The sequence below is a fragment of the Homo sapiens genome, chromosome 5 (assembly GCF_000001405.40).
Source record: "Homo sapiens chromosome 5, GRCh38.p14 Primary Assembly".
NCBI lineage: Eukaryota > Metazoa > Chordata > Mammalia > Primates > Hominidae > Homo > Homo sapiens.
In genome coordinates this window covers 46,599,174-46,624,328 of record NC_000005.10, presented here as the reverse complement: position 1 = coordinate 46,624,328, position 25,155 = coordinate 46,599,174, and the positions used below count along the sequence as shown (strand labels likewise).

The following is a 25,155-nucleotide window of genomic DNA, read 5'->3' as shown; positions in this document are numbered from 1 at the left end:
CTTCTGTCTAGTTTTTAAGAGAAGATAATCCTTTTTCCACCATAGGCAACAAATCTCTCCAAATGAACACTACCAGGTTCTACAAAAAGTGTGTTTCAACACTGCTCTAACAAAAGAAAGGATCAAGACTTTGAGTTAACCACGCCCAGCTAATTTTTGTATTTTTAGTAGAGACGGGGTTTCACCATGTTGGCCAGGATGGTCTTGATCTCTTGACCTCGTGATCCACGTGCCCAGCTCTGTCTAGTTTTTATTTGAAGGTACTTCCTTTTCCTTCTTAGACCTCAAATCGCTCCAAATATCCACTTGCAGATACTACAAAAAGACTGTTTCAAAACCGCTCTCTCAAAAGGAAGGTTCAACTCTGTGAGTTGAATGCACATATTACAAAGCAGTTCCTGAGAATGCTTCTGTCTATTTTTTAGGTGAAGATATCACTTTTTCCAACATAGGCCACAAAGCATTTGAAATGAACACTTGCAGATTCTACAAAATGTTTGTTTCAACACTGCTGTATCAAAAGAAAGGTTCAACAATGTGAATTGAACACACCCATCACAAAGGAGTTTCTGAGAATGCTTCTGTCTAGTTTCTATGTGAAGATATTTCTTTTTCCAACATAGGCAACAAAGCACTCCAAAGAACACTTGTAGATTATACAAAAAGTGTGTTTCAACACTGCTCTACCTAAAGGAAGTTTCAAGTCTGTGACTTAAATGCACACATCACAAAGCAGTTTCTGAGAATGCTTCTGTCTAGTTTGTATGTGAAGATATTTCATTTTCCACCATACTCCACAAATCACTCCAAATATCCACTTGCAAATACTACAAAAAGACTGTTTCAAAACTTCTCTCTCAAAAGGAAGGTTCAACTCTGTGAGTTGAATGCACACATCACAAGGCAGTTTCTGAAAATGCTTCAGTCTAGTTTTTTATTTGAAGGTATTTCCTTTTCCTTCTTCGGCCTCAAATCACTGCAAATATCCACTTGCAGATACTACAAAAAGACTGTTTCAAAACCGCTCTCTCAAAAGGAAGGTTCAACACTGTGAGTTGAATGCACATGTTACGAAGCAGTTTCTGGAATGCTTCTGTCTATTTTTCAGGTGAAGATATCACTTTTTCGAACATACGCAAAAAAGAACTCAAAATGGACACTTGCAGATTCTACAAAAAGTATGTTTCAACACTGCTCTATCAAAAGAAAGGTTCAACGATATGAATTGAACACACACATCACAAAGGAGTTTCAGAGAATGCTTCTGTCTAGTTTTTAAGTGAAGATATTACTTTTTCCCACATAGGCAACAAAGGGCTTCAAATGAATACTTGTGGATTCTACAAAAAGTGTGTTTCAACACTGCTCTATCAAAAGAAAGTTTCAAGTCTGTGAGTTGAATGCACACATCACAAAGAACTTTCTGAGAATGCTTGGGTCTACTTTTTATGTGAAGATACCCGTTTCCAGCGAATAACTCAAAGAGTTCCAAATATACACAATCAGATACTACAAAAGGAGTGTTTCATTCCTGCTCTGTCAAAAGACAGTTTCAACTCTGTTAGTTGAATGCACACATCTCAATGAAGTTCCTGAGAAGGCTTCTGCCTAGTTTTTTGTGAAGATATTCCCTTTTCCACCATAGGCTTCACAGCGCTCCAAATGAAAACTTGCAGGTCCTACAAAAAGACTGCTTCAAAACTGCTCTCTCAAAAGAACGGTTCCACTCTGTTAGGTGAATGCACACATCACAAGAAGTTTCTGAGAATGCTTCTGTTTAGTTTGTATGTGAAGATATTTCCTTTTCCATCATACTACACGAATCGCTCCAAATATCCACCTGCAGACGTTACAAAAAGACTGTTTCAAAACTGCTCTCTCAAAAGGAAGGTTCAACTCTGTGAGTTGAGTGCACACATCACAATGGAGTTTCTGAGAATACTTCTGTCTACTTTGTATGTGAAGGTATTTCCTTTTCCACCTGAGGCCCCAAGTCACTACAAATATCCACTTGCAGATACTATAAAAAGACTGTTTCAAAACCTCCCTCTCCAAAGGAAAGTTCAAATCTGTCGGTTGAATGCACACATCACAAAGCAGTTTCTGAGAATGCTTCTGTCTAGTTTGTATGTGAAGATATTTCCTTTTCCATCATAGGCTTCAAATCGCTCCAAATATCCACTTGCAGATACTACAAAAGACCGTTTCAACACTGCTCTCTCAAAAGGAAGGTTCAACTCTGTGGGTTGAATGCACACATCACAAAGCAGTTTCTGAGAATGCTTCTGTCTAGTTTTTATGTGAAGATATTTCCTTTTCCATCATAGGCCTCAAATCGCTCCAAATATCCGCTTGCAGATACTACAAAAAGACTGTTTCAAAACTGCTCTCTCTGAAAAGGAAGGTTCAACTCTGTGAGTTGAATGCACACATCACAAAGCAGTTTCTGAGAATGCTTCTGTCTAGTTTGTATGTGAGGATATCCCGTTTACAACATCATCCTCAAAGAGCTCCAATTATCCACAAGCAGATTCTACAAAAGCAGTGTTTCAAAATTGCTCTTTCAAAAGAAAGGTTCAACTCTGTGAATTAAACAGACACATCACAAAGTTTTTTCTGAGAATGCTTCTGTCTAGTTTTTAAGAGAAGATAATCCTTTTTCCACCATAGGCAACAAATCTCTCCAAATGAACACTACCAGGTTCTACAAAAAGTGTGTTTCAACACTGCTCTAACTAAAGTAAGGATCAAGACTTTGAGTTAAATGCACACATCACAAAGCAGTTTCTGAGAAAGCTTCTGTCTAGTTTTTATTTGAAGGTACTTCCTTTTCCTTCTTAGACCTCAAATCGCTCCAAATATCCACTTGCAGATACTACAAAAAGACTGTTTCAAAACCGCTCTCTCAAAAGGAAGGTTCAACTCTGTGAGCTTGAATGCACATATTACAAAGCAGTTCCTGAGAATGCTTCTGTTTATTTTTTAGGTGAAGGTATCTCTTTTTCCAACATAGGCCACAAAGCATTTGAAATGAGCACTTGCAGATTCTACAAAATGTTTGTTTCAACACTGCTGTATCAAAAGAAAGGTTCAACAATGTGAATTGAACAAACCCATCACAAAGGAGTTTCTGTGAATGCTTCTGTCTAGTTTTTATGTGAAGATATTTCTTTTTCCAACATAGGCAACAAAGCACTCCAAAGAACACTTGTAGATTATACAAAAAGTGTGTTTCAACACTGCTCTACCTAAAGGAAGTTTCAAGTCTGTGACTTAAATGCACACATCACAAAGCAGTTTCTGAGAATGCTTCTGTCTAGTTTGTATGTGAAGATATTTCATTTTCCACCATACTCCACAAATCGCTCCAAATATCCACTTGCAAATACTACAAAAAGACTGTTTCAAAACTTCTCTCTCAAAAGGAAGGTTCAACTCTGTGAGTTGAATGCACACATCACAAGGCAGTTTCTGAAAATGCTTCCGTCTAGTTTTTTATTTGAAGGTATTTCCTTTTCCTTCTTCGGCCTCAAATCACTGCAAATATCCACTTGCAGATACTACAAAAAGACTGTTTCAAAACCGCTCTCTCAAAAGGAAGGTTCAACACTGTGAGTTGAATGCACATGTTACAAAGCAGTTTCTGGAATGCTTCTGTCTATTTTTCAGGTGAAGATATCACTTTTTCCAGCATACGCACAGAAGAACTCGAAATGGACACTTGCAGATTCTACAAAAAGTATGTTTCAACACTGCTCTATCAAAAGAAAGGTTCAACGATGTGAATTGAACACACACTTCACAGAGGAGTTTCAGAGAATGCTTCTGTCTAGTTTTTAAGTGAAGATATTCCTTTTTCCCACACAGGCAACAAAGCGCTCCAAAGGAATACTTGTGGATTCTACAAAAAGTGTGTTTCAACACTGCTCTATCAAAAGAAAGTTTCAAGTCTGTGAGTTGAACGCACACATCACAAAGAACCTTCTGAGAATGCTTGGGTCTACTTTTTATGTGAAGATACCCGTTTCCAACGAATAACTCAAAGAGTTCCAAATATACACAATCAGATACTACAAAAGGAGTGTTTCATTCCTCCTCTGTCAAAAGACAGTTTCAACTCTGTTAGTTGAATGCACACATCTCAATGAAGTTCCTGAGAAGGCTTCTGCCTAGTTTTTTGTGAAGATAGTCCCTTTTCCACCATGGGCTTCAAAGCGCTCCAAATGAAAACTTGCAGGTCCTACCAAAAGACTGATTCAAAACTGCTCTATCAAAAGAACGGTTCCACTCTGTTAGGAGAATGCACACATCACAAGAAATTTCTGAGAATGCTTCTGTTTAGTTTGTATGTGAAGATATTTCCTTTTCCATCATACTACTCGAATCGCTCCAAATATCCACCTGCAGACGTTACAAAAAGACTGTTTCAAAACTGCTCTCTCAAAAGGAAGGTTTAACTCTGTGAGTTGAGTGCACACATCACAATGGAGTTTCTGAGAATACTTCTGTCTACTTTGTATGTGAAGGTATTTCCTTTTCCACCTGAGGCCCCAAGTCACTACAAATATCCACTTGCAGATACTACAAAAAGACTGTTTCAAAACCTCCCTCTCCAAAGGAAAGTTCAAATCTGTCGGTTGAATGCACACATCACAAAGCAGTTTCTGAGAATGCTTCTGTCTAGTTTGTATGTGAAGATATTTCCTTTTCCGTCATAGGCCTCAAATCGCTCCAAATATCCACTTGCAGATACTACAAAAGACCGTTTCAACACTGCTCTCTCAAAAGGAAGGTTCAACTCTGTGGGTTGAATGCACACATCACAAAGCAGTTTCTGAGAATGCTTCTGTCTAGTTTGTATGTGAAGATATTTCCTTTTCCATCATAGGCCTCAAATCGCTCCAAATATCCACTTGCAGATACTACAAAAAGACTGTTTCAACACTGCTCTCTCAAATGGAAGGTTCAACTCTGTGAGTTGAATGCACACATCACAAAGCAGTTTCTGAGAATGCTTCTGTCTAGTTTGTATGTGAAGATATGCCTTTTACAACGTATTCCTCAAGGAGCTCCCAATATCCACAAGCAGATTCTACAGAAGCAGTGTTTCAAACCTGCTCTGTCAAAGGAAAGTTTCAACTCTGTGAATTGAACACACACATCACAAAGCAGTTTCTAAGAATGCTTCTGTCTAGTTTTTAAGAGAAGATAATCCTTTTTCCACCATAGGCAACAAATCTCTCCAAATGAACACTACCAGTTTCTACAAAAAGTGTGTTTCAACACTGCTCTAACAAAAGTAAGGATCAAGACTTTGAGTTAAATGCACACATCACAAAGCAGTTTCTGAGAAAGCTTCTGTCTAGTTTTTATTTGAAGTTACTTCCTTTTCCTTCTTAGACCTCAAATCGCTCCCAATATCCACTTGCAGATACTACAAAAAGACTGTTCAAAACCGCTCTCTCAAAAGGAAGGTTCAACTCTGTGAGTTGAATGCACATATTACAAAGCAGTTCCTGAGAATGCTTCTGTCTATTTTTTAGGTGAAGATATCACTTTTTCCAACATAGGCCGCAAAGCATTTGAAATGAACCCTTGCAGATTCTACAAAATGTTTGTTTCAACACTGCTGTATCAAAAGAAAGGTTCAACAATGTGAATTGAACAAACCCATTACAAAGGAGTTTCTGAGAATGCTTCTGTCTAGTTTTTATGTGAAGATATTTCTTTTTCCAACATAGGCAACAAAGCACTCCAAAGAACACTTGTAGATTATACAAAAAGTGTGTTTCAACACTGCTCTACCTAAAGGAAGTTTCAAGTCTGTGACTTAAATGCACACATCACAAAGCAGTTTCTGACAATGCTTCTGTCTAGTTTGTATGTGAAGATATTTCATTTTCCACCATACTCCACAAATCGCTCCAAATATCCACTTGCAAATACTACAAAAAGACTGTTTCAAAACTTCTCTCTCAAAAGGAAGGTTCAACTCTGTGAGTTGAATGCACACATCACAAGGCAGTTTCTGAAAATGCTTCCTTCTAGTTTTTTATTTGAAGGTATTTCCTTTTCCTTCTTCGGCCTCAAATCACTGCAAATATCCACTTGCAGATACTACAAAAAGACTGTTTCAAAACCGCTCTCTCAAAAGGAAGGTTCAACACTGTGAGTTGAATGCACATGTTACAAAGCAGTTTCTGGAATGCTTCTGTCTATTTTTCAGGTGAAGATATCACTTTTTCCAGCATACGCACAAAAGAACTCGAAATGGACACTTGCAGATTCTACAAAAAGTATGTTTCAACACTGCTCTATCAAAAGAAAGGTTCAACGATGTGAATTGAACACACACTTCACAGAGGAGTTTCAGAGAATGCTTCTGTCTAGTTTTTAAGTGAAGATATTCCTTTTTCCCACATAGGCAACAAAGCGCTCCAAAGGAATACTTGTGGATTCTACAAAAAGTGTGTTTCAACACTGCTCTATCAAAAGAAAGTTTCAAGTCTGTGAGTTGAACGCACACATCACAAAGAACCTTCTGAGAATGCTTGGGTCTACTTTTTATGTGAAGATACCCGTTTCCAACGAATAACTCAAAGAGTTCCAAATACACACAATCAGATACTACAAAAGGAGTGTTTCATTCCTCCTCTGTCAAAAGACAGTTTCAACTCTGTTAGTTGAATGCACACATCTCAATGAAGTTCCTGAGAAGGCTTCTGCCTAGTTTTTTGTGAAGATATTCCCTTTTCCACCATAGGCTTCACAGCGCTCCAAATGAAAACTTGCAGGTCCTACAAAAAGACTGATTCAAAACTGCTCTCCCAAAAGGAAGGTTCAACTGTGTGAGTTGAATGCACACATCACAAAGCAGTTCCTGAGAATCCTTCTGTCTAGTTTGTATGTGAAGATATTTCCTTTTCCATCATAGGCCTCAAATCGCTCCAAATATCCACTTGCAGATACTACAAAAATACCGTTTCAACACTGCTCTCTCCAATGGAAGGTTCAACTCTGTGAGTTGAGTGCACACATCACAATGCAGTTTCTGAGAATACTTCTATCTACTTTGTATGTGAAGGTATTTCCTTTTCCACCTGAGGCCCCAAGTCACTACAAATATCCACTTGCAGATACTACAAAAAGACTGTTTCAAAACGTCCCTCTCCAAAGGAAAGTTCAAATCTGTCGGTTGAATGCACACATCACAAAACAGTTTCTGAGAATGCTTCTGTCTAGTTTGTATGTGAAGATATTTCCTTTTCCATCATAGGCGTCAAATCGCTCCAAATATCCACTTGCAGATACTACAAAAGACCGTTTCAACACTGCTCTCTCAAAAGGAAGGTTCAACTCTGTGGGTTGAATGCACACATCACAAAGCAGTTTCTGAGAATGCTTCTGTCTAGTTTGTATGTGAAGATATTTCCTTTTCCATCATAGGCCTCAAATCGCTCCAAATATCCAATTGAAGATACTACAAAAAGACCGTTTCCACACTGCTCTCTCAAATGGAAGGTTCAACTCTGTGAGTTGAATGCACACATCACAAAGCAGTTTCTGAGAATGCTTCTGTCTAGTTTGTATGTGAAGATATGCCTTTTACAACGTATTCCTCAAGGAGCTCCCAATATCCACAAGCAGATTCTACAGAAGCAGTGTTTCAAACCTGCTCTGTCAAAGGAAAGTTTCAACTCTGTGAATTGAACACACACATCACAAAGCAGTTTCTAAGAATGCTTCTGTCTAGTTTTTAAGAGAAGATAATCATTTTTCCACCATAGGCAACAAATCTCTCCAAATGAACACTACCAGGTTCTACAAAAAGTGTGTTTCAACACTGCTCTAACAAAAGTAAGGATCAAGACTTTGAGTTAAATGCACACATCACAAAGCAGTTTCTGAGAAAGCTTCTGTCTAGTTTTTATTTGAAGGTATTTCCTTTTCCTTCTTAGACCTCAAATCGCTCCAAATATCCTCTTGCAGATACTACAAAAAGACTCTTTCAAAACCGCTCTCTCAAAAGGAAGGTTCAACTCTGTGAGTTGAATGCACATATTACAAAGCAGTTCCTGAGAATGCTTCTGTCTATTTTTTAGGTGAAGATATCACTTTTTCCAACATAGGCCACAAAGCATTTGAAATGAACACTTGCAGATTCTACAAAATGTTTGTTTCAACACTGCTGTATCAAAAGAAAGGTTCAACAATGTGAATTGAACAAACCCATCACAAAGGAGTTTCTCAGAATGCTTCTGTCTAGTTTTTATGTGAAGATATTTCTTTTTCCAACATAGGCAACAAAGCACTCCAAAGAACACTTGTAGATTATACAAAAAGTGTGTTTCAACACTGCTCTACCTAAAGGAAGTTTCAAGTCTGTGAGTTAAATGCACACATCACAAAGCAGTTTCTGAGAATGCTTCTGTCTAGTTTGTATGTGAAGATATTTCATTTTCCACCATACTCCACAAATCGCTCCAAATATCCACTTGCAAATACCACAAAAAGACTGTTTCAAAACTTCTCTCTCAAAAGGAAGGTTCAACTCTGTGAGTTGAATGCACACATCACAAGGCAGTTTCTGAAAATGCTTCCGTCTAGTTTTTTATTTGAAGGTATTTCCTTTTCCTTCTTCGGCCTCAAATCACTGCAAATATCCACTTGCAGATACTACAAAAAGACAGTTTCAAAACCGCTCCCTCAAAAGGAAGGTTCAACACTGTGAGTTGAATGCACATGTTACAAAGCAGTTTCTGGAATGCTTCTGTCTATTTTTCAGGTGAAGATATCACTTTTTCCAACATACGCACAAAAGAACTCGAAATGGACACTTGCAGATTCTACAAAAAGTATGTTTCAACACTGCTCTATCAAAAGAAAGGTTCAACGATGTGAATTGAACACACACTTCACAGAGGAGTTTCAGAGAATGCTTCTGTCTAGTTTTTAAGTGAAGATATTCCTTTTTCCCACATAGGCAACAAAGCGCTCCAAACGAATACTTGTGGATTCTACAAAAAGTGTGTTTCAACACTGCTCTATCAAAAGAAAGTTTCAAGTCTGTGAGTCGAACGCACACATCACAAAGAACCTTCTGAGAATGCTTGGGTCTACTTTTTATGTGAAGATACCCGTTTCCAACGAATAACTCAAAGAGTTCCAAATATACACAATCAGATACTACAAAAGGAGTGTTTCATTCCTCCTCTGTCAAAAGACAGTTTCAACTCTGTTAGTTGAATGCACACATCTCAATGAAGTTCCTGAGAAGGCTTCTGCCTAGTTTTTTGTGAAGATAGTCCCTTTTCCACCATGGGCTTCAAAGCGCTCCAAATGAAAACTTGCAGGTCCTACCAAAAGACTGATTCAAAACGGCTCTATCAAAAGAACGGTTCCACTCTGCTAGGTGAACGCACACATCACAAGAAGTTTCTGAGAATGCTTCTGTTTCGTTTGTATGTGAAGATATTTCCTTTTCCATCATACTACACGAATCGCTCCAAATATCCACCTGCAGACGTTACAAAAAGACTGTTTCAAAACTGCTCTCTCAAAAGGAAGGTTCAACTCTGTGAGTTGAGTGCACACATCACAATGGAGTTTCTGAGAATACTTCTGTCTACTTTGTATGTGAAGGTATTTCCTTTTCCACCTGAGGCCCCAAGTCACTACAAATATCCACTTGCAGATACTACAAAAAGACTGTTTCAAAACCTCCCTCTCCAAAGGAAAGTTCAAATCTGTCGGTTGAATGCACACATCACAAAGCAGTTTCTGAGAATGCTTCTGTCTAGTTTGTATGTGAAGATATTTCCTTTTCCATCATAGGCTTCAAATCGCTCCAAATATCCACTTGCAGATACTACAAAAGACCGTTTCAACACTGCTCTCTCAAAAGGAAGGTTCAACTCTGTGGGTTGAATGCACACATCACAAAGCAGTTTCTGAGAATGCTTCTGTCTAGTTTGTATGTGAAGATATTTCCTTTTCCATCATAGGCCTCAAATCGCTCCAAATATCCAATTGAAGATACTACAAAAAGACCGTTTCAACACTGCTCTCTCAAATGGAAGGTTCAACTCTGTGAGTTGAATGCACACATCACAAAGCAGTTTCTGAGAATGCTTCTGTCTAGTTTGTATGTGAAGATATGCCTTTTACAACGTATTCCTCAAGGAGCTCCCAATATCCACAAGCAGATTCTACAGAAGCAGTGTTTCAAACCTGCTCTGTCAAAGGAAAGTTTCAACTCTGTGAATTGAACACACACATCACAAAGCAGTTTCTAAGAATGCTTCTGTCTAGTTTTTAAGAGAAGATAATCATTTTTCCACCATAGGCAACAAATCTCTCCAAATGAACACTACCAGGTTCTACAAAAAGTGTGTTTCAACACTGCTCTAACAAAAGTAAGGATCAAGACTTTGAGTTAAATGCACACATCACAAAGCAGTTTCTGAGAAAGCTTCTGTCTAGTTTTTATTTGAAGGTACTTCCTTTTCCTTCTTAGACCTCAAATCGCTCCAAATATCCACTTGCAGATACTACAAAAAGACTGTTTCAAAACCGCTCTCTCAAAAGGAAGGTTCAACTCTGTGTGTTGAATGCACATATTACAAAGCAGTTCCTGAGAATGCTTCTGTCTATTTTTTAGGTGAAGATATCACTTTTTCCAACATAGGCCACAAAGCATTTGAAATGAACACTTGCAGATTCTACAAAATGTTTGTTTCAACACTGCTGTATCAAAAGAAAGGTTCAACAATGTGAATTGAACACACCCATCACAAAGGAGTTTCTGAGAATGCTTCTGTCTAGTTTTTATGTGAAGATATTTCTTTTTCCAACATAGGCAACAAAGCACTCCAAAGAACACTTGTAGATTATACAAAAAGTGTGTTTCAACACTGCTCTACCTAAAGGAAGTTTCAAGTCTGTGACTTAAATGCACACATCACAAAGCAGTTTCTGACAATGCTTCTGTCTAGTTTGTATGTGAAGATATTTCATTTTCCACCATACTCCACAAATCGCTCCAAATATCCACTTGCAAATACTACAAAAAGACTGTTTCAAAACTTCTCTCTCAAAAGGAAGGTTCAACTCTGTGAGTTGAATGCACACATCACAAGGCAGTTTCCGAAAATGCTTCAGTCTAGTTTTTTATTTGAAGGTATTTCCTTTTCCTTCTTCGGCCTCAAATCACTGCAAATATCCACTTGCAGATACTACAAAAAGACTGTTTCAAAACCGCTCTCTCAAAAGGAAGGTTCAACACTGTGAGTTGAATGCACATGTTACGAAGCAGTTTCTGGAATGCTTCTGTCTATTTTTCAGGTGAAGATATCACTTTTTCCAACATACGCACAAAAGAACTCGAAATGGACACTTGCAGATTCTACAAAAAGTATGTTTCAACACTGCTCCATCAAAAGAAAGGTTCAACGATGTGAATTGAGCACACACTTCACAGAGGAGTTTCAGAGAATGCTTCTGTCTAGTTTTTAAGTGAAGATATTCCTTTTTCCCACATAGGCAACAAAGCGCTCCAAATGAATACTTGTGGATTCTACAAAAACTCTGTTTCAACACTGCTCTATCAAAAGAAAGTTTCAAGTCTGTGAGTTGAATGCACACATCACAAAGGACCTTCTGAGAATGCTTGGGTCTACTTTTTATGTGAAGATACCCGTTTCCAACGAATAACTCAAAGAGTTCCAAATATACACAATCAGATACTACAAAAGGAGTGTTTCATTCCTCCTCTGTCAAAAGACAGTTTCAACTCTGTTAGTTGAATGCACACATCTCAATGAAGTTCCTGAGAAGGCTTCTGCCTAGTTTTTTGTGAAGATGATAGTCCCTTTTCCACCATGGGCTTCAAAGTGCTCCAAATGAAAACTTGCAGGTCCTACCAAAAGACTGATTCAAAACTGCTCTATCAAAAGAACGGTTCCACTCTGTTAGGTGAATGCACACATCACAAGAAGTTTCTGTGAATGCTTCTGTTTAGTTTGTATGTGAAGATATTTCCTTTTCCATCATACTACACGAATCGCTCCAAATATCCACCTGCAGACGTTACAAAAAGACTGTTTCAAAACTGCTCTCTCAAAAGGAAGGTTCAACTCTGTGAGTTGAGTGCACACATCACAATGGAGTTTCTGAGAATACTTCTGTCTACTTTGTATGTGAAGGTATTTCCTTTTCCACCTGAGGCCCCAAGTCACTACAAATATCCACTTGCAGATACTACAAAAAGACTGTTTCAAAACCTCCCTCTCAAAAGGACAGTTCAAATCTGTCGGTTGAATGCACACATCACAAAGCAGTTTCTGAGAATGCTTCTGTCTAGTTTGTATGTGAAGATATTTCCTTTTCCATCATAGGCCTCAAATCGCTCCAAATATCCACTTGCAGATGCTACAAAAGACCGTTTCAACACTGCTCTCTCAAAAGGAAGGTTCAACTCTGTGGGTTGAATGCCCACATCACAAAGCAGTTTCTAAGAATGCTTCTGTCTAGTTTTTAAGAGAAGATAATCCTTTTTCCACCATAGGCAACAAATCTCTCCAAATGAACACTACCAGGTTCTACAAAAAGTGTGTTTCAACACTGCTCTAACAAAAGTAAGGATCAAGACTTTGAGTTAAATGCACACATCACAAAGCAGTTTCTGAGAAAGCTTCTGTCTAGTTTTTATTTGAAGGTACTTCCTTTTCCTTCTTAGACCTCAAATCGCTCCAAATATCCACTTGCAGATACTACAAAAAGACTGTTTCAAAACCGCTCTCTCAAAAGGAAGGTTCAACTCTGTGAGTTGAATGCACATATTACAAAGCAGTTCCTGAGAATGCTTCTGTCTATTTTTTACGTGAAGATATCACTTTTTCCAACAGAGGCCACAAAGCATTTGAAATGAACCCTTGCAGATTCTACAAAATGTTTGTTTCAACACTGCTGTATCAAAAGAAAGGTTCAACAATGTGAATTGAACAAACCCATCACAAAGGAGTTTCTGAGAATGCTTCTGTCTAGTTTTTATGTGAAGATATTTCTTTTTCCAACATAGGCAACAAAGCACTCCAAAGAACACTTGTAGATTATACAAAAAGTGTGTTTCAACACTGCTTTATCTAAAGGAAGTTTCACGTCTGTGACTTAAATGCACACATCACAAAGCAGTTTCTGAGAATGCTTCTGTCTAGTTTGTATGTGAAGATATTTCATTTTCCACCACACTCCACAAATCGCTCCAAATATCCACTTGCAAATACTACAAAAAGACTGTTTCAAAACTTCTCTCTCAAAAGGAAGGTTCAACTCTGTGAGTTGAATGCACACATCACAAGGCAGTTTCTGAAAATGTTTCCGTCTAGTTTTTTATTTGAAGGTATTTCCTTTTCCTTCTTCGGCCTCAAATCACTGCAAATATCCACTTGCAGATACTACAAAAAGACTGTTTCAAAACCGCTCTCTCAAAAGGAAGGTTCAACACTGTGAGTTGAATGCACATGTTACAAAGCAGTTTCTGGAATGCTTCTGTCTATTTTTCAGGTGAAGATATCACTTTTTCCAACATACGCACAAAAGAACTCGAAATGGACACTTGCAGATTCTACAAAAAGTATGTTTCAACACTGCTCCATCAAAAGAAAGGTTCAACGATGTGAATTGAACACACACTTCACAGAGGAGTTTCAGAGAATGCTTCTGTCTAGTTTTTAAGTGAAGATATTCCTTTTTCCCACATAGGCAACAAAGCGCTCCAAATGAATACTTGTGGATTCTACAAAAACTGTGTTTCAACACTGCTCTATCAAAAGAAAGTTTCAAGTCTGTGAGTTGAACGCACACATCACAAAGGACCTTCTGAGAATGCTTGGGTCTACATTTTAGGTGAAGATACCCGTTTCCAACGAATAACTCAAAGAGTTCCAAATATACACAATCAGATACTACAAAAGGAGTGTTTCATTCCTCCTCTGTCAAAAGACAGTTTCAACTCTGTTAGTTGAATGCACACATCTCAATGAAGTTCCTGAGAAGGCTTCTGCCTAGTTTTTTGTGAAGATAGTCCCTTTTCCACCATGGGCTTCAAAGCGTTCCAAATGAAAACTTGCAGGTCCTACCAAAAGACTGATTCAAAACTGCTCTATCAAAAGAACGGTTCCACTCTGTTAGGTGAATGCACACATCACAAGAAGTATCTGAGAATGCTTCTGTTTAGTTTGTATGTGAAGATATTTCCTTTTCCATCATAGTACTCGAATCGCTCCAAATATCCACATGCAGACGTTACAAAAAGACTGTTTCAAAACTGCTCTCTCAAAAGGAAGGTTCAACTCTGTGAGTTGAGTGCACACATCACAATGGAGTTTCTGAGAATACTTCTGTCTACTTTGTATGTGAAGGTATTTCCTTTTCCACCTGAGGCCCCAAGTCACTACAAATATCCACTTGCAGATACTACAAAAAGACTGTTTCAAAACCTCCCTCTCCAAAGGAAAGTTCAAATCTGTCGGTTGAATGCACACATCACAAAGCAGTTTCTGAGAATGCTTCTGTCTAGTTTGTATGTGAAGATATTTCCTTTTCCATCATAGGCCTCAAATCGCTCCAAATATCCACTTGCAGATACTACAAAAGACCGTTTCAACACTGCTCTCTCAAAAGGAAGGTTCAACTCTGTGGGTTGAATGCACACATCACAAAGCAGTTTCTGAGAATGCTTCTGTCTAGTTTGTATGTGAAGATATTTCCTTTTCCATCATAGGCCTCAAATCGCTCCAAATATCCACTTGCAGATACTACAAAAAGACTGTTTCAACACTGCTCTCTCAAATGGAAGGTTCAACTCTGTGAGTTGAATGCACACATCACAAAGCAGTTTCTGAGAATGCTTCTGTCTAGTTTGTATGTGAAGATATGCCTTTTACAACGTATTCCTCAAAGAGCTCCCAATATCCACAAGCAGATTCTACAAAAGCAGTGTTTCAAAACTGCTCTATCAAAGGAAAGTTTCAACTCTGTGAATTGAACACACACATCACAAAGCAGTTTCTAAGAATGCTTCTGTCTAGTTTTTAAGAGAAGATAATCCTTTTTCCACCATAAGCAACAAATCTCTCCAAATGAACACTACCAGGTTCTACAAAAAGTGTGTTTCAACACTGCTCTAACAAAAGTAAGGATCAAGACTTTGAGTTAAATGCACACATCACAAAGCAGTTTCTGAGAAAGCTTCTGTCTAGTTTTAATTTGAAGGTACTTCCTTTTCCTTCTTAGACCTCAAATCGCTCCAAATATCCACTTGCAGATACTACAAAAAGACTGTTTCAAAACCGCTCTCTCAAAAGGAAGGTTCAACTCTGTGAGTTGAATGCACATATTACAAAGCAGTTCCTGAGAATGCTTCTGTCTATTTTTTAGGTGAAGATATCACTTTTTCCAACATAGGCCACAAAGCATTTGAAATGAACACTTGCAGATTCTACAAAATGTTTGTTTCAACACTGCTGTATCAAAAGAAAGGTTCAACAATGTGAATTGAACACACCCATCACAAAGGAGTTTCTCAGAATGCTTCTGTCTAGTTTTTATGTGAAGATAGTTCTTTTTCCAACATAGGCAACAAAGCACTCCAAAGAACACTTGTAGATTATACAAAAAGTGTGTTTCAACACTGCTCTACCTAAAGGAAGTTTCAAGTCTGTGACTTAAATGCACACATCACAAAGCAGTTTCTGAGAATGCTTCTGTCTAGTTTGTATGTGAAGATATTTCATTTTCCACCATACTCCACAAATCGCTCCAAATATCCACTTGCAAATACTACAAAAAGACTGTTTCAAAACTTCTCTCTCAAAAGGAAGGTTCAACTCTGTGAGTTGAATGCACACATCACAAGGCAGTTTCTGAAAATGCTTCCGTCTAGTTTTTTATTTGAAGGTATTTCCTTTTCCTTCTTCGGCCTCAAATCACTGCAAATATCCACTTGCAGATACTACAAAAAGACTGTTTCAAAACCGCTCTCTCAAAAGGAAGGTTCAACACTGTGAGTTGAATGCACATGTTACAAAGCAGTTTCTGGAATGCTTCTGTCTATTTTTCAGGTGAAGATATCACTTTTTCCAGCATACGCACAAAAGAACTCGAAATGGACACTTGCAGATTCTACAAAAAGTATGTTTCAACACTGCTCTATCAAAAGAAAGGTTCAACGATGTGAATTGAACACACACTTCACAGAGGAGTTTCAGAGAATGCTTCTGTCTAGTTTTTAAGTGAAGATATTCCTTTTTCCCACATAGGCAACAAAGCGCTCCAAAGGAATACTTGTGGATTCTACAAAAAGTGTGTTTCAACACTGCTCTATCAAAAGAAAGTTTCAAGTCTGTGAGTTGAACGCACGCATCACAAAGAACCTTCTGAGAATGCTTGGGTCTACTTTTTATGTGAAGATACCCGTTTCCAACGAATAACTCAAAGAGTTCCAAATACACACAATCAGATACTACAAAAGGAGTGTTTCATTCCTCCTCTGTCAAAAGACAGTTTCAACTCTGTTAGTTGAATGCACACATCTCAATGAAGTTCCTGAGAAGGCTTCTGCCTAGTTTTTTGTGAAGATAGTCCCTTTTCCACCATGGGCTTCAAAGCACTCCAAATGAAAACTTGCAGGTCCTACCAAAAGACTGATTCAAAACTGCTCTATCAAAAGAACGGTTCCACTCTGTTAGGTGAATGCACACATCACAAGAAGTTTCTGAGAATGCTTCTGTTTAGTTTCTATGTGAAGATATTTCCTTTTCCATCATACTACACGAATCGCTCCAAATATCCACCTGCAGACGTTACAAAAAGACTGTTTCAAAACGGCTCTCTCAAAAGGAAGGTTCAACTCTGTGAGTTGAGTGCACACATCACAATGGAGTTTCTGAGAATACTTCTGTCTAGTTTGTATGTGAAGGTATTTCCTTTTCCACCTGAGGCCCCAAGTCACTACAAATATCCACTTGCAGATACTACAAAAAGACTGTTTCAAAACCTCCCTCTCCAAAGGAAAGTTCAAATCTGTCGGTTGAATGCACACATCACAAAGCAGTTTCTGAGAATGCTTCTGTCTAGTTTGTATGTGAAGATATTTCCTTTTCCATCATAGGCCTCAAATCGCTCCAAATATCCACTTGCAGATACTACAAAAGACCGTTTCAACACTGCTCTCTCAAAAGGAAGGTTCAACTCTGTGGGTTGAATGCACACATCATGAAGCAGTTTCTGAGAATGCTTCTGTCTAGTTTGTATGTGAAAATATTTCCTTTTCCATCATAGGCCTCAAATCGCTCCAAATATCCACTTGAAGATACTACAAAAAGACTGTTTCAACACTCCTCTCTCAAATGGAAGGTTCAACTACTGTGAGTTGAATGCACACATCACAAAGCAGTTTCTGAGAATGCTTCTGTCTAGTTTGTATGTGAAGATATGCCTTTTACAACGTATTCCTCAAGGAGCTCCCAATATCCACAAGCAGATTCTACAGAAGCAGTGTTTCAAACCTGCTCTGTCAAAGGAAAGTTTCAACTCTGTGAATTGAACACACACATCACAAAGCAGTTTCTAAGAATGCTTCTGTCTAGTTTTTAAGAGAAGATAATCATTTTTCCACCATAGGCAACAAATCTCTCCAAATGAACACTACCAGGTTCTACAAAAAGTGTGTTTCAACACTGCTCTAACAAAAGTAAGGATCAAGACTTTGAGTTAAATGCACACATCACAAAGCAGTTTCTGAGAAAGCTTCTGTCTAGTTTTTATTTGAAGGTACTTCCTTTTCCTTCTTAGACCTCAAATCGCTCCAAATATCCACTTGCAGATACTACAAAAAGACTGTTTCAAAACCGCTCTCTCAAAAGGAAGGTTCAACTCTGTGAGTTGAATGCACATATTACAAAGCAGTTCCTGAGAATGCTTCTGTCTATTTTTTAGGTGAAGATATCACTTTTTCCAACATAGGCCGCAAAGCATTTGAAATGAACCCTTGCAGATTCTACAAAATGTTTGTTTCAACACTGCTGTATCAAAAGAAAGGTTCAACAATGTGAATTGAACAAACCCATCACAAAGGAGTTTCTGAGAATGCTTCTGTCTAGTTTTTATGTGAAGATATTTCTTTTTCCAACATAGGCAACAAAGCACTCCAAAGAACACTTGTAGATTATACAAAAAGTGTGTTTCAACACTGCTCTACCTAAAGGAAGTTTCAAGTCTGTGACTTAAATGCACACATCACAAAGCAGTTTCTGACAATGCTTCTGTCTAGTTTGTATGTGAAGATATTTCATTTTCCACCATACTCCACAAATCGCTCCAAATATCCACTTGCAAATACTACAAAAAGACTGTTTCAAAACTTCTCTCTCAAAAGGAAGGTTCAACTCTGTGAGTTGAATGCACACATCACAAGGCAGTTTCTGAAAATGCTTCCGTCTAGTTTTTTATTTGAAGGTATTTCCTTTTCCTTCTTCGGCCTCAAATCACTGCAAATATCCACTTGCAGATACTACAAAAAGACTGTTTCAAAACCGCTCTCTCAAAAGGAAGGTTCAACACTGTGAGTTGAATGCACATGTTACAAAGCAGTTTCTGGAATGCTTCTGTCTATTTTTCAGGTGAAGATATCACTTTTTCCAGCATACGCACAAAAGAACTCGAAATGGACACTTGCAGATTCTACAAAAAGTATGTTTCAACACTGCTCTATCAAAAGAAAGGTTCAACGATGTGAATTGAACACACACTTCACAGAGGAGTTTCAGAGAATGCTTCTGTCTAGTTTTTAAGTGAAGATATTCCTTTTTCCCACATAGGCAACAAAGCGCTCCAAAGGAATACTTGTGGATTCTACAAAAAGTGTGTTTCAACACTGCTCTATCAAAAGAAAGTTTCAAGTCTGTGAGTTGAACGCACACATCACAAAGAACCTTCTGAGAATGCTTGGGTCTACTTTTTATGTGAAGATACCCGTTTCCAACGAATAACTCAAAGAGTTCCAAATACACACAATCAGATACTACAAAAGGAGTGTTTCATTCCTCCTCTGTCAAAAGACAGTTTCAACTCTGTTAGTTGAATGCACACATCTCAATGAAGTTCCTGAGAAGGCTTCTGCCTAGTTTTTTGTGAAGATAGTCCCTTTTCCACCATGGGCTTCAAAGCACTCCAAATGAAAACTTGCAGGTCCTACCAAAAGACTGATTCAAAACTGCTCTATCAAAAGAACGGTTCCACTCTGTTAGGTGAATGCACACATCACAAGAAGTTTCTGAGAATGCTTCTGTTTAGTTTGTATGTGAAGATATTTCCTTTTCCATCATACTACTCGAATCGCTCCAAATATCCACATGCAGACGTTACGAAAAGACTGTTTCAAAACTGCTCTCTCAAAAGGAAGGTTCAACTCTGTGAGTTGAGTGCACACATCACAATGGAGTTTCTGAGAATACTTCTGTCTACTTTGTATGTGAAGGTATTTCCTTTTCCACCTGAGGCCCCAAGTCACTACAAATATCCACTTGCAGATACTACAAAAAGACTGTTTCAAAACCTCCCTCTCCAAAGGAAAGTTCAAATCTGTCGGTTGAATGCACACATCACAAAGCAGTTTCTGAGAATGCTTCTGTCTAGTTTGTATGTGAAGATATTTCCTTTTCCATCATAGGCCTCAAATCGCTCCAAATATCCACTTGCAGATACTACAAAAGACCGTTTCAACACTGCTCTCTCAAAAGGAAGGTTCAACTCTGTGGGTTGAATGCACACATCACAAAGCAGTTTCTGAGAATGCTTCTGTCTAGTTTGTATGTGAAGATATTTCCTTTTCCATCATAGACCTCAAATCGCTCCAAATATCCAATTGAAGATACTACAAAAAGACCGTTTCAACACTGCTCTCTCAAATGGAAGGTTCAACTCTGTGAGTTGAATGCACACATCACAAAGCAGTTTCTGAGAATGCTTCTGTCTAGTTTGTATGTGAAGATATGCCTTTTACAACGTATTCCTCAAGTAGCTCCCAATATCCACAAGCAGATTCTACAGAAGCAGTGTTTCAAACCTGCTCTGTCAAAGGAAAGTTTCAACTCTGTGAATTGAACACACACATCACAAAGCAGTTTCTAAGAATGCTTCTGTCTAGTTTTTAAGAGAAGATAATCCTTTTTCCACCATAGGCAACAAATCTCTCCAAATGAACACTACCAGGTTCTACAAAAAGTGTGTTTCAACACTGCTCTAACAAAAGTAAGGATCAAGACTTTGAGTTAAATGCACACATCACAAAGCAGTTTCTGAGAAAGCTTCTGTCTAGTTTTTATTTGAAGGTACTTCCTTTTCCTTCTTAGACCTCAAATCGCTCCAAATATCCACTTGCAGATACTACAAAAAGACTGTTTCAAAACCGCTCTCTCAAAAGGAAGGTTCAACTCTGTGAGTTGAATGCACATATTACAAAGCAGTTCCTGAGAATGCTTCTGTCTATTTCTTAGGTGAACATATCACTTTTTCCAACATAGGCCACAAAGCATTTGAAATGAACACTTGCAGATTCTACAAAATGTTTGTTTCAACCCTGCTGTATCAAAAGAAAGGTTCAACAATGTGAATTGAACAAACCCATCACAAAGGAGTTTCTGAGAATGCTTCTGTCTAGTTTTTATGTGAAGATATTTCTTTTTCCAACATAGGCAACAAAGCACTCCAAAGAACACTTGTAGATTATACAAAAAGTGTGTTTCAACACTGCTCTACCTAAAGGAAGTTTCAAGTCTGTGACTTAAATGCACACATCACAAAGCAGTTTCTGAGAATGCTTCTGTCTACTTTGTATGTGAAGGTATTTCATTTTCCACCATACTCCACAAATCGCTCCAAATATCCACTTGCAAATACTACAAAAAGACTGTTTCAAAACTTCTCTCTCAAAAGGAAGGTTCAACTCTGTGAGTTGAATGCACACATCACAAGGCAGTTTCTGAAAATGCTTCCGTCTAGTTTTTTATTTGAAGGTATTTCCTTTTCCTTCTTCGGCCTCAAATCACTGCAAATATCCACTTGCAGATACTACAAAAAGACTGTTTCAAAACCGCTCTCTCAAAAGGAAGGTTCAACAGTGTGAGTTGAATGCATATGTTACAAAGCAGTTTCTGGAATGCTTCTGTCTATTTTTCAGGTGAAGATATCACTTTTTCCAACATACGCACAAAAGAACTCGAAATGGACACTTGCAGATTCTACAAAAAGTATGTTTCAACACTGCTCTATCAAAAGAAAGGTTCAACGATGTGAATTGAACACACACTTCACAGAGGAGTTTCAGAGAATGCTTCTGTCTAGTTTTTAAGTGAAGATATTCCTTTTTCCCACATAGGCAACAAAGCGCTCCAAACGAATACTTGTGGATTCTACAAAAAGTGTGTTTCAACACTGCTCTATCAAAAGAAAGTTTCAAGTCTGTGAGTTGAACGCACACATCACAAAGAACCTTCTGAGAATGCTTGGGTCTACTTTTTATGTGAAGATACCCGTTTCCAACGAATAACTCAAAGAGTTCCAAATATACACAATCAGATAGTACAAAAGGAGTGTTTCATTCCTCCTCTGTCAAAAGACAGTTTCAACTCTGTTAGTTGAATGCACACATCTCAATGAAGTTCCTGAGAAGGCTTCTGCCTAGTTTTTTGTGAAGATATTCCCTTTTCCACCATGGGCTTCAAAGCGCTCCAAATGAAAACATGCAGGTCCTACCAAAAGACTGATTCAAAACTGCTCTATCAAAAGAACGGTTCCACTCTGTTAGGTGAATGCACACATCACAAGAAGTTTCTGAGAATGCTTCAGTTTAGTTTGTATGTGAAGATATTTCCTTTTCCATCATAGTACTCGAATCGCTCCAAATATCCACCTGCAGACGTTACAAAAAGACTGTTTCAAAACTCCTCTCTCAAAAGGAAGGTTCAACTCTGTGAGTTGAGTGCACACATCACAATGGAGTTTCTGAGAATACTTCTGTCTAGTTTGCATGTGAAGGTATTTCCTTTTCCATCTGAGGCCCCAAGTCACTACAAATATCCACTTGCAGATACTACAAAAAGACTGTTTCAAAACCTCCCTCTCAAAAGGAAAGTTCAAATCTGTCGGTTGAATGCACACATCACAAAGCAGTTTCTGAGAATGCTTCTGTCAATTTTGTATGTGAAGTTATTTCCTTTTCCATCATAGGCCTCAAATCGCTCCAAATATCCACTTGCAGATACTACAAAAGACCGTTTCAACACTGCTCTCTCAAAAGGAAGGTTCAACTCTGTGGGTTGAATGCACACATCACAAAGCAGTTTCTGAGAATGCTTCTGTCTAGTTTGTATGTGAAGATATTTCCTTTTCCATCATAGGCCTCAAATCGCTCCAAATATCCAATTGAAGATACTACAAAAAGACTGTTTCAACACTGCTCTCTCAAATGGAAGGTTCAACTCTGTGAGTTGAATGCACACATCACAAAGCAGTTTCTGAGAATGCTTCTGTCTAGTTTGTATGTGAAGATATGCCTTTTACAACGTATTCCTCAAGGAGCTCCCAATATCCACAAGCAGATTCTACAGAAGCAGTGTTTCAAACCTGCTCTGTCAAAGGAAAGTTTCAACTCTGTGAATTGAACACACACATCACAAAGCAGTTTCTAAGAATGCTTCTGTCTAGTTTTTAAGAGAAGATAATCCTTTTTCCACCATAGGCAACAAATCTCTCCAAATGAACACTACCAGGTTCTACAAAAAGTGTGTTTCAACACTGCTCTAACAAAACTAAGGATCAAGACTTTGAGTTAAATGCACACATCACAAAGCAGTTTCTGAGAAAGCTTCTGTCTAGTTTTTATTTGAAGGTACTTCCTTTTCCTTCTTAAACCTCAAATCGCTCCAAATATCCACTTGCAGATACTACAAAAAGATTGTTTCAAAACCGCTCTCTCAAAAGGAAGGTTCAACTCTGTGAGTTGAATGCACATATTACAAAGCAGTTCCTGAGAATGCTTCTGTCTATTTTTTGGTGAACATATCACTTTTTCCAACATAGGCCACAAAGCATTTGAAATGAACCCTTGCAGATTCTACAAAATGTTTGTTTCAACACTGCTGTATCAAAAGAAAGGTTCAACAATGTGAATTGAACAAACCCATCACAAAGGAGTTTCTGAGAATGCTTCTGTCTAGTTTTTATGTGAAGATATTTCTTTTTCCAACATAGGCAACAAAGCACTCCAAAGAACACTTGTAGATTATACAAAAAGTGTGTTTCAACACTGCTCTACCTAAAGGAAGTTTCAAGTCTGTGACTTAAATGCACACATCACAAAGCAGTTTCTGAGAATGCTTCTGTCTACTTTGTATGTGAAGATATTTCATTTTCCACCATACTCCACAAATCGCTCCATATATCCACTTGCAAATACTGCAAAAAGACTGTTTCAAAACTTCTCTCTCAAAAGGAAGGTTCAACTCTGTGAGTTGAATGCACACATCACAAGGCAGTTTCTGAAAATGCTTCCGTCTAGTTTTTTATTTGAAGGTATTTCCTTTTCCTTCTTCGGCCTCAAATCACTGCAAATATCCACTTGCAGATACTACAAAAAGACTGTTTCAAAACCGCTCTCTCAAAAGGAAGGTTCAACACTGTGAGTTGAATGCACATGTTACAAAGCAGTTTCTGGAATGCTTCTGTCTATTTTTCAGGTGAAGATATCACTTTTTCCAACATACGCACAAAAGAACTCGAAATGGACACTTGCAGATTCTACAAAAAGTATGTTTCAACACTGCTCCATCAAAAGAAAGGTTCAACGATGTGAATTGAACACACACTTCACAGAGGAGTTTCAGAGAATGCTTCTGTCTAGTTTTCAAGTGAAGATATTCCTTTTTCCCACATAGGCAACAAAGCGCTCCAAATGAATACTTGTGGATTCTACAAAAACTGTGTTTCAACACTGCTCTATCAAAAGAAAGTTTGAAGTCTGTGAGTTGAACGCACACATCACAAAGGACCTTCTGAGAATGCTTGGGTCTACTTTTTATGTGAAGATACCCGTTTCCAACGAATAACTCAAAGAGTTCCAAATATACACTATCAGATACTACGAAAGGAGTGATTCATTACTGCTCTGTCATAAGACAGTTTCAACTCTGTTAGTTGAATGCACACATCTCAATGAAGTTCCTGAGAAGGCTTTGGTGTAGGTTTTACGTGAATATATTTACTTTTCCACCTTAGGCTTCAAAGAGCTCCAAATGAACACATGCAGATCCTACAAAAAGACTGTTTCAAAACTGGTCTGACAAAAAAACGGTTCCACTCTGTGAGGTGAGTGCACACATCAGAAAGCAGTTTCTGGGAATGCTTCTGTTTAGTTTGTATGTGAAGATATTTCCTTTTCCATCATACTACACGAATCGCTCCAAATATCCACCTGCAGACGTTACAAAAAGACTGTTTCAAAACTGCTCTCTCAAAAGGAAGGTTCAACTCTGTGAGTTGAGTGCACACATCACAATGGAGTTTCTGAGAATACTTCTGTCTACTTTGTATGTGAAAGTATTTCCTTTTCCACCTGAGGCCCCAAGTCACTACAAATATCCACTTGCAGATACTACAAAAAGACTGTTTCAAAACCTCCCTCTCCAAAGGAAAGTTCAAATCTGTCGGTTGAATGCACACATCACAAAGCACTTTCTGAGAATGCTTCTGTCTAGTTTGTATGTGAAGATATTTCCTTTTCCATCATAGGCTTCAAATCGCTCCAAATATCCACTTGCAGATACTACAAAAGACCGTTTCAACACTGCTCTCTCAAAAGGAAGGTTCAACTCTGTGGGTTGAATGCACACATCACAAAGCAGTTTCTGAGAATGCTTCTGTCTAGTTTGTATGTGAAGATATTTCCTTTTCCATCATAGGCCTCAAATCGCTCCAAATATCCAATTGAAGATACTACAAAAAGATCGTTTCAACACTGCTCTCTCAAATGGAAGGTTCAACTCTGTGAGTTGAATGCACACATCACAAAGCAGTTTCTGAGAATGCTTCTGTTTAGTT

The 25,155-nt window shown here is 38.2% G+C and overlaps 1 annotated feature.

The window, feature by feature from the left end:
* Positions 1 to 25,155: part of a centromere (Linear centromere model derived predominantly from reads generated in PMID: 17803354. This region does not represent an actual centromere sequence, as long-range ordering of repeats and unmapped WGS contigs is not provided by the model. For details of model production, see http://arxiv.org/abs/1307.0035.) that runs on past both edges of the window.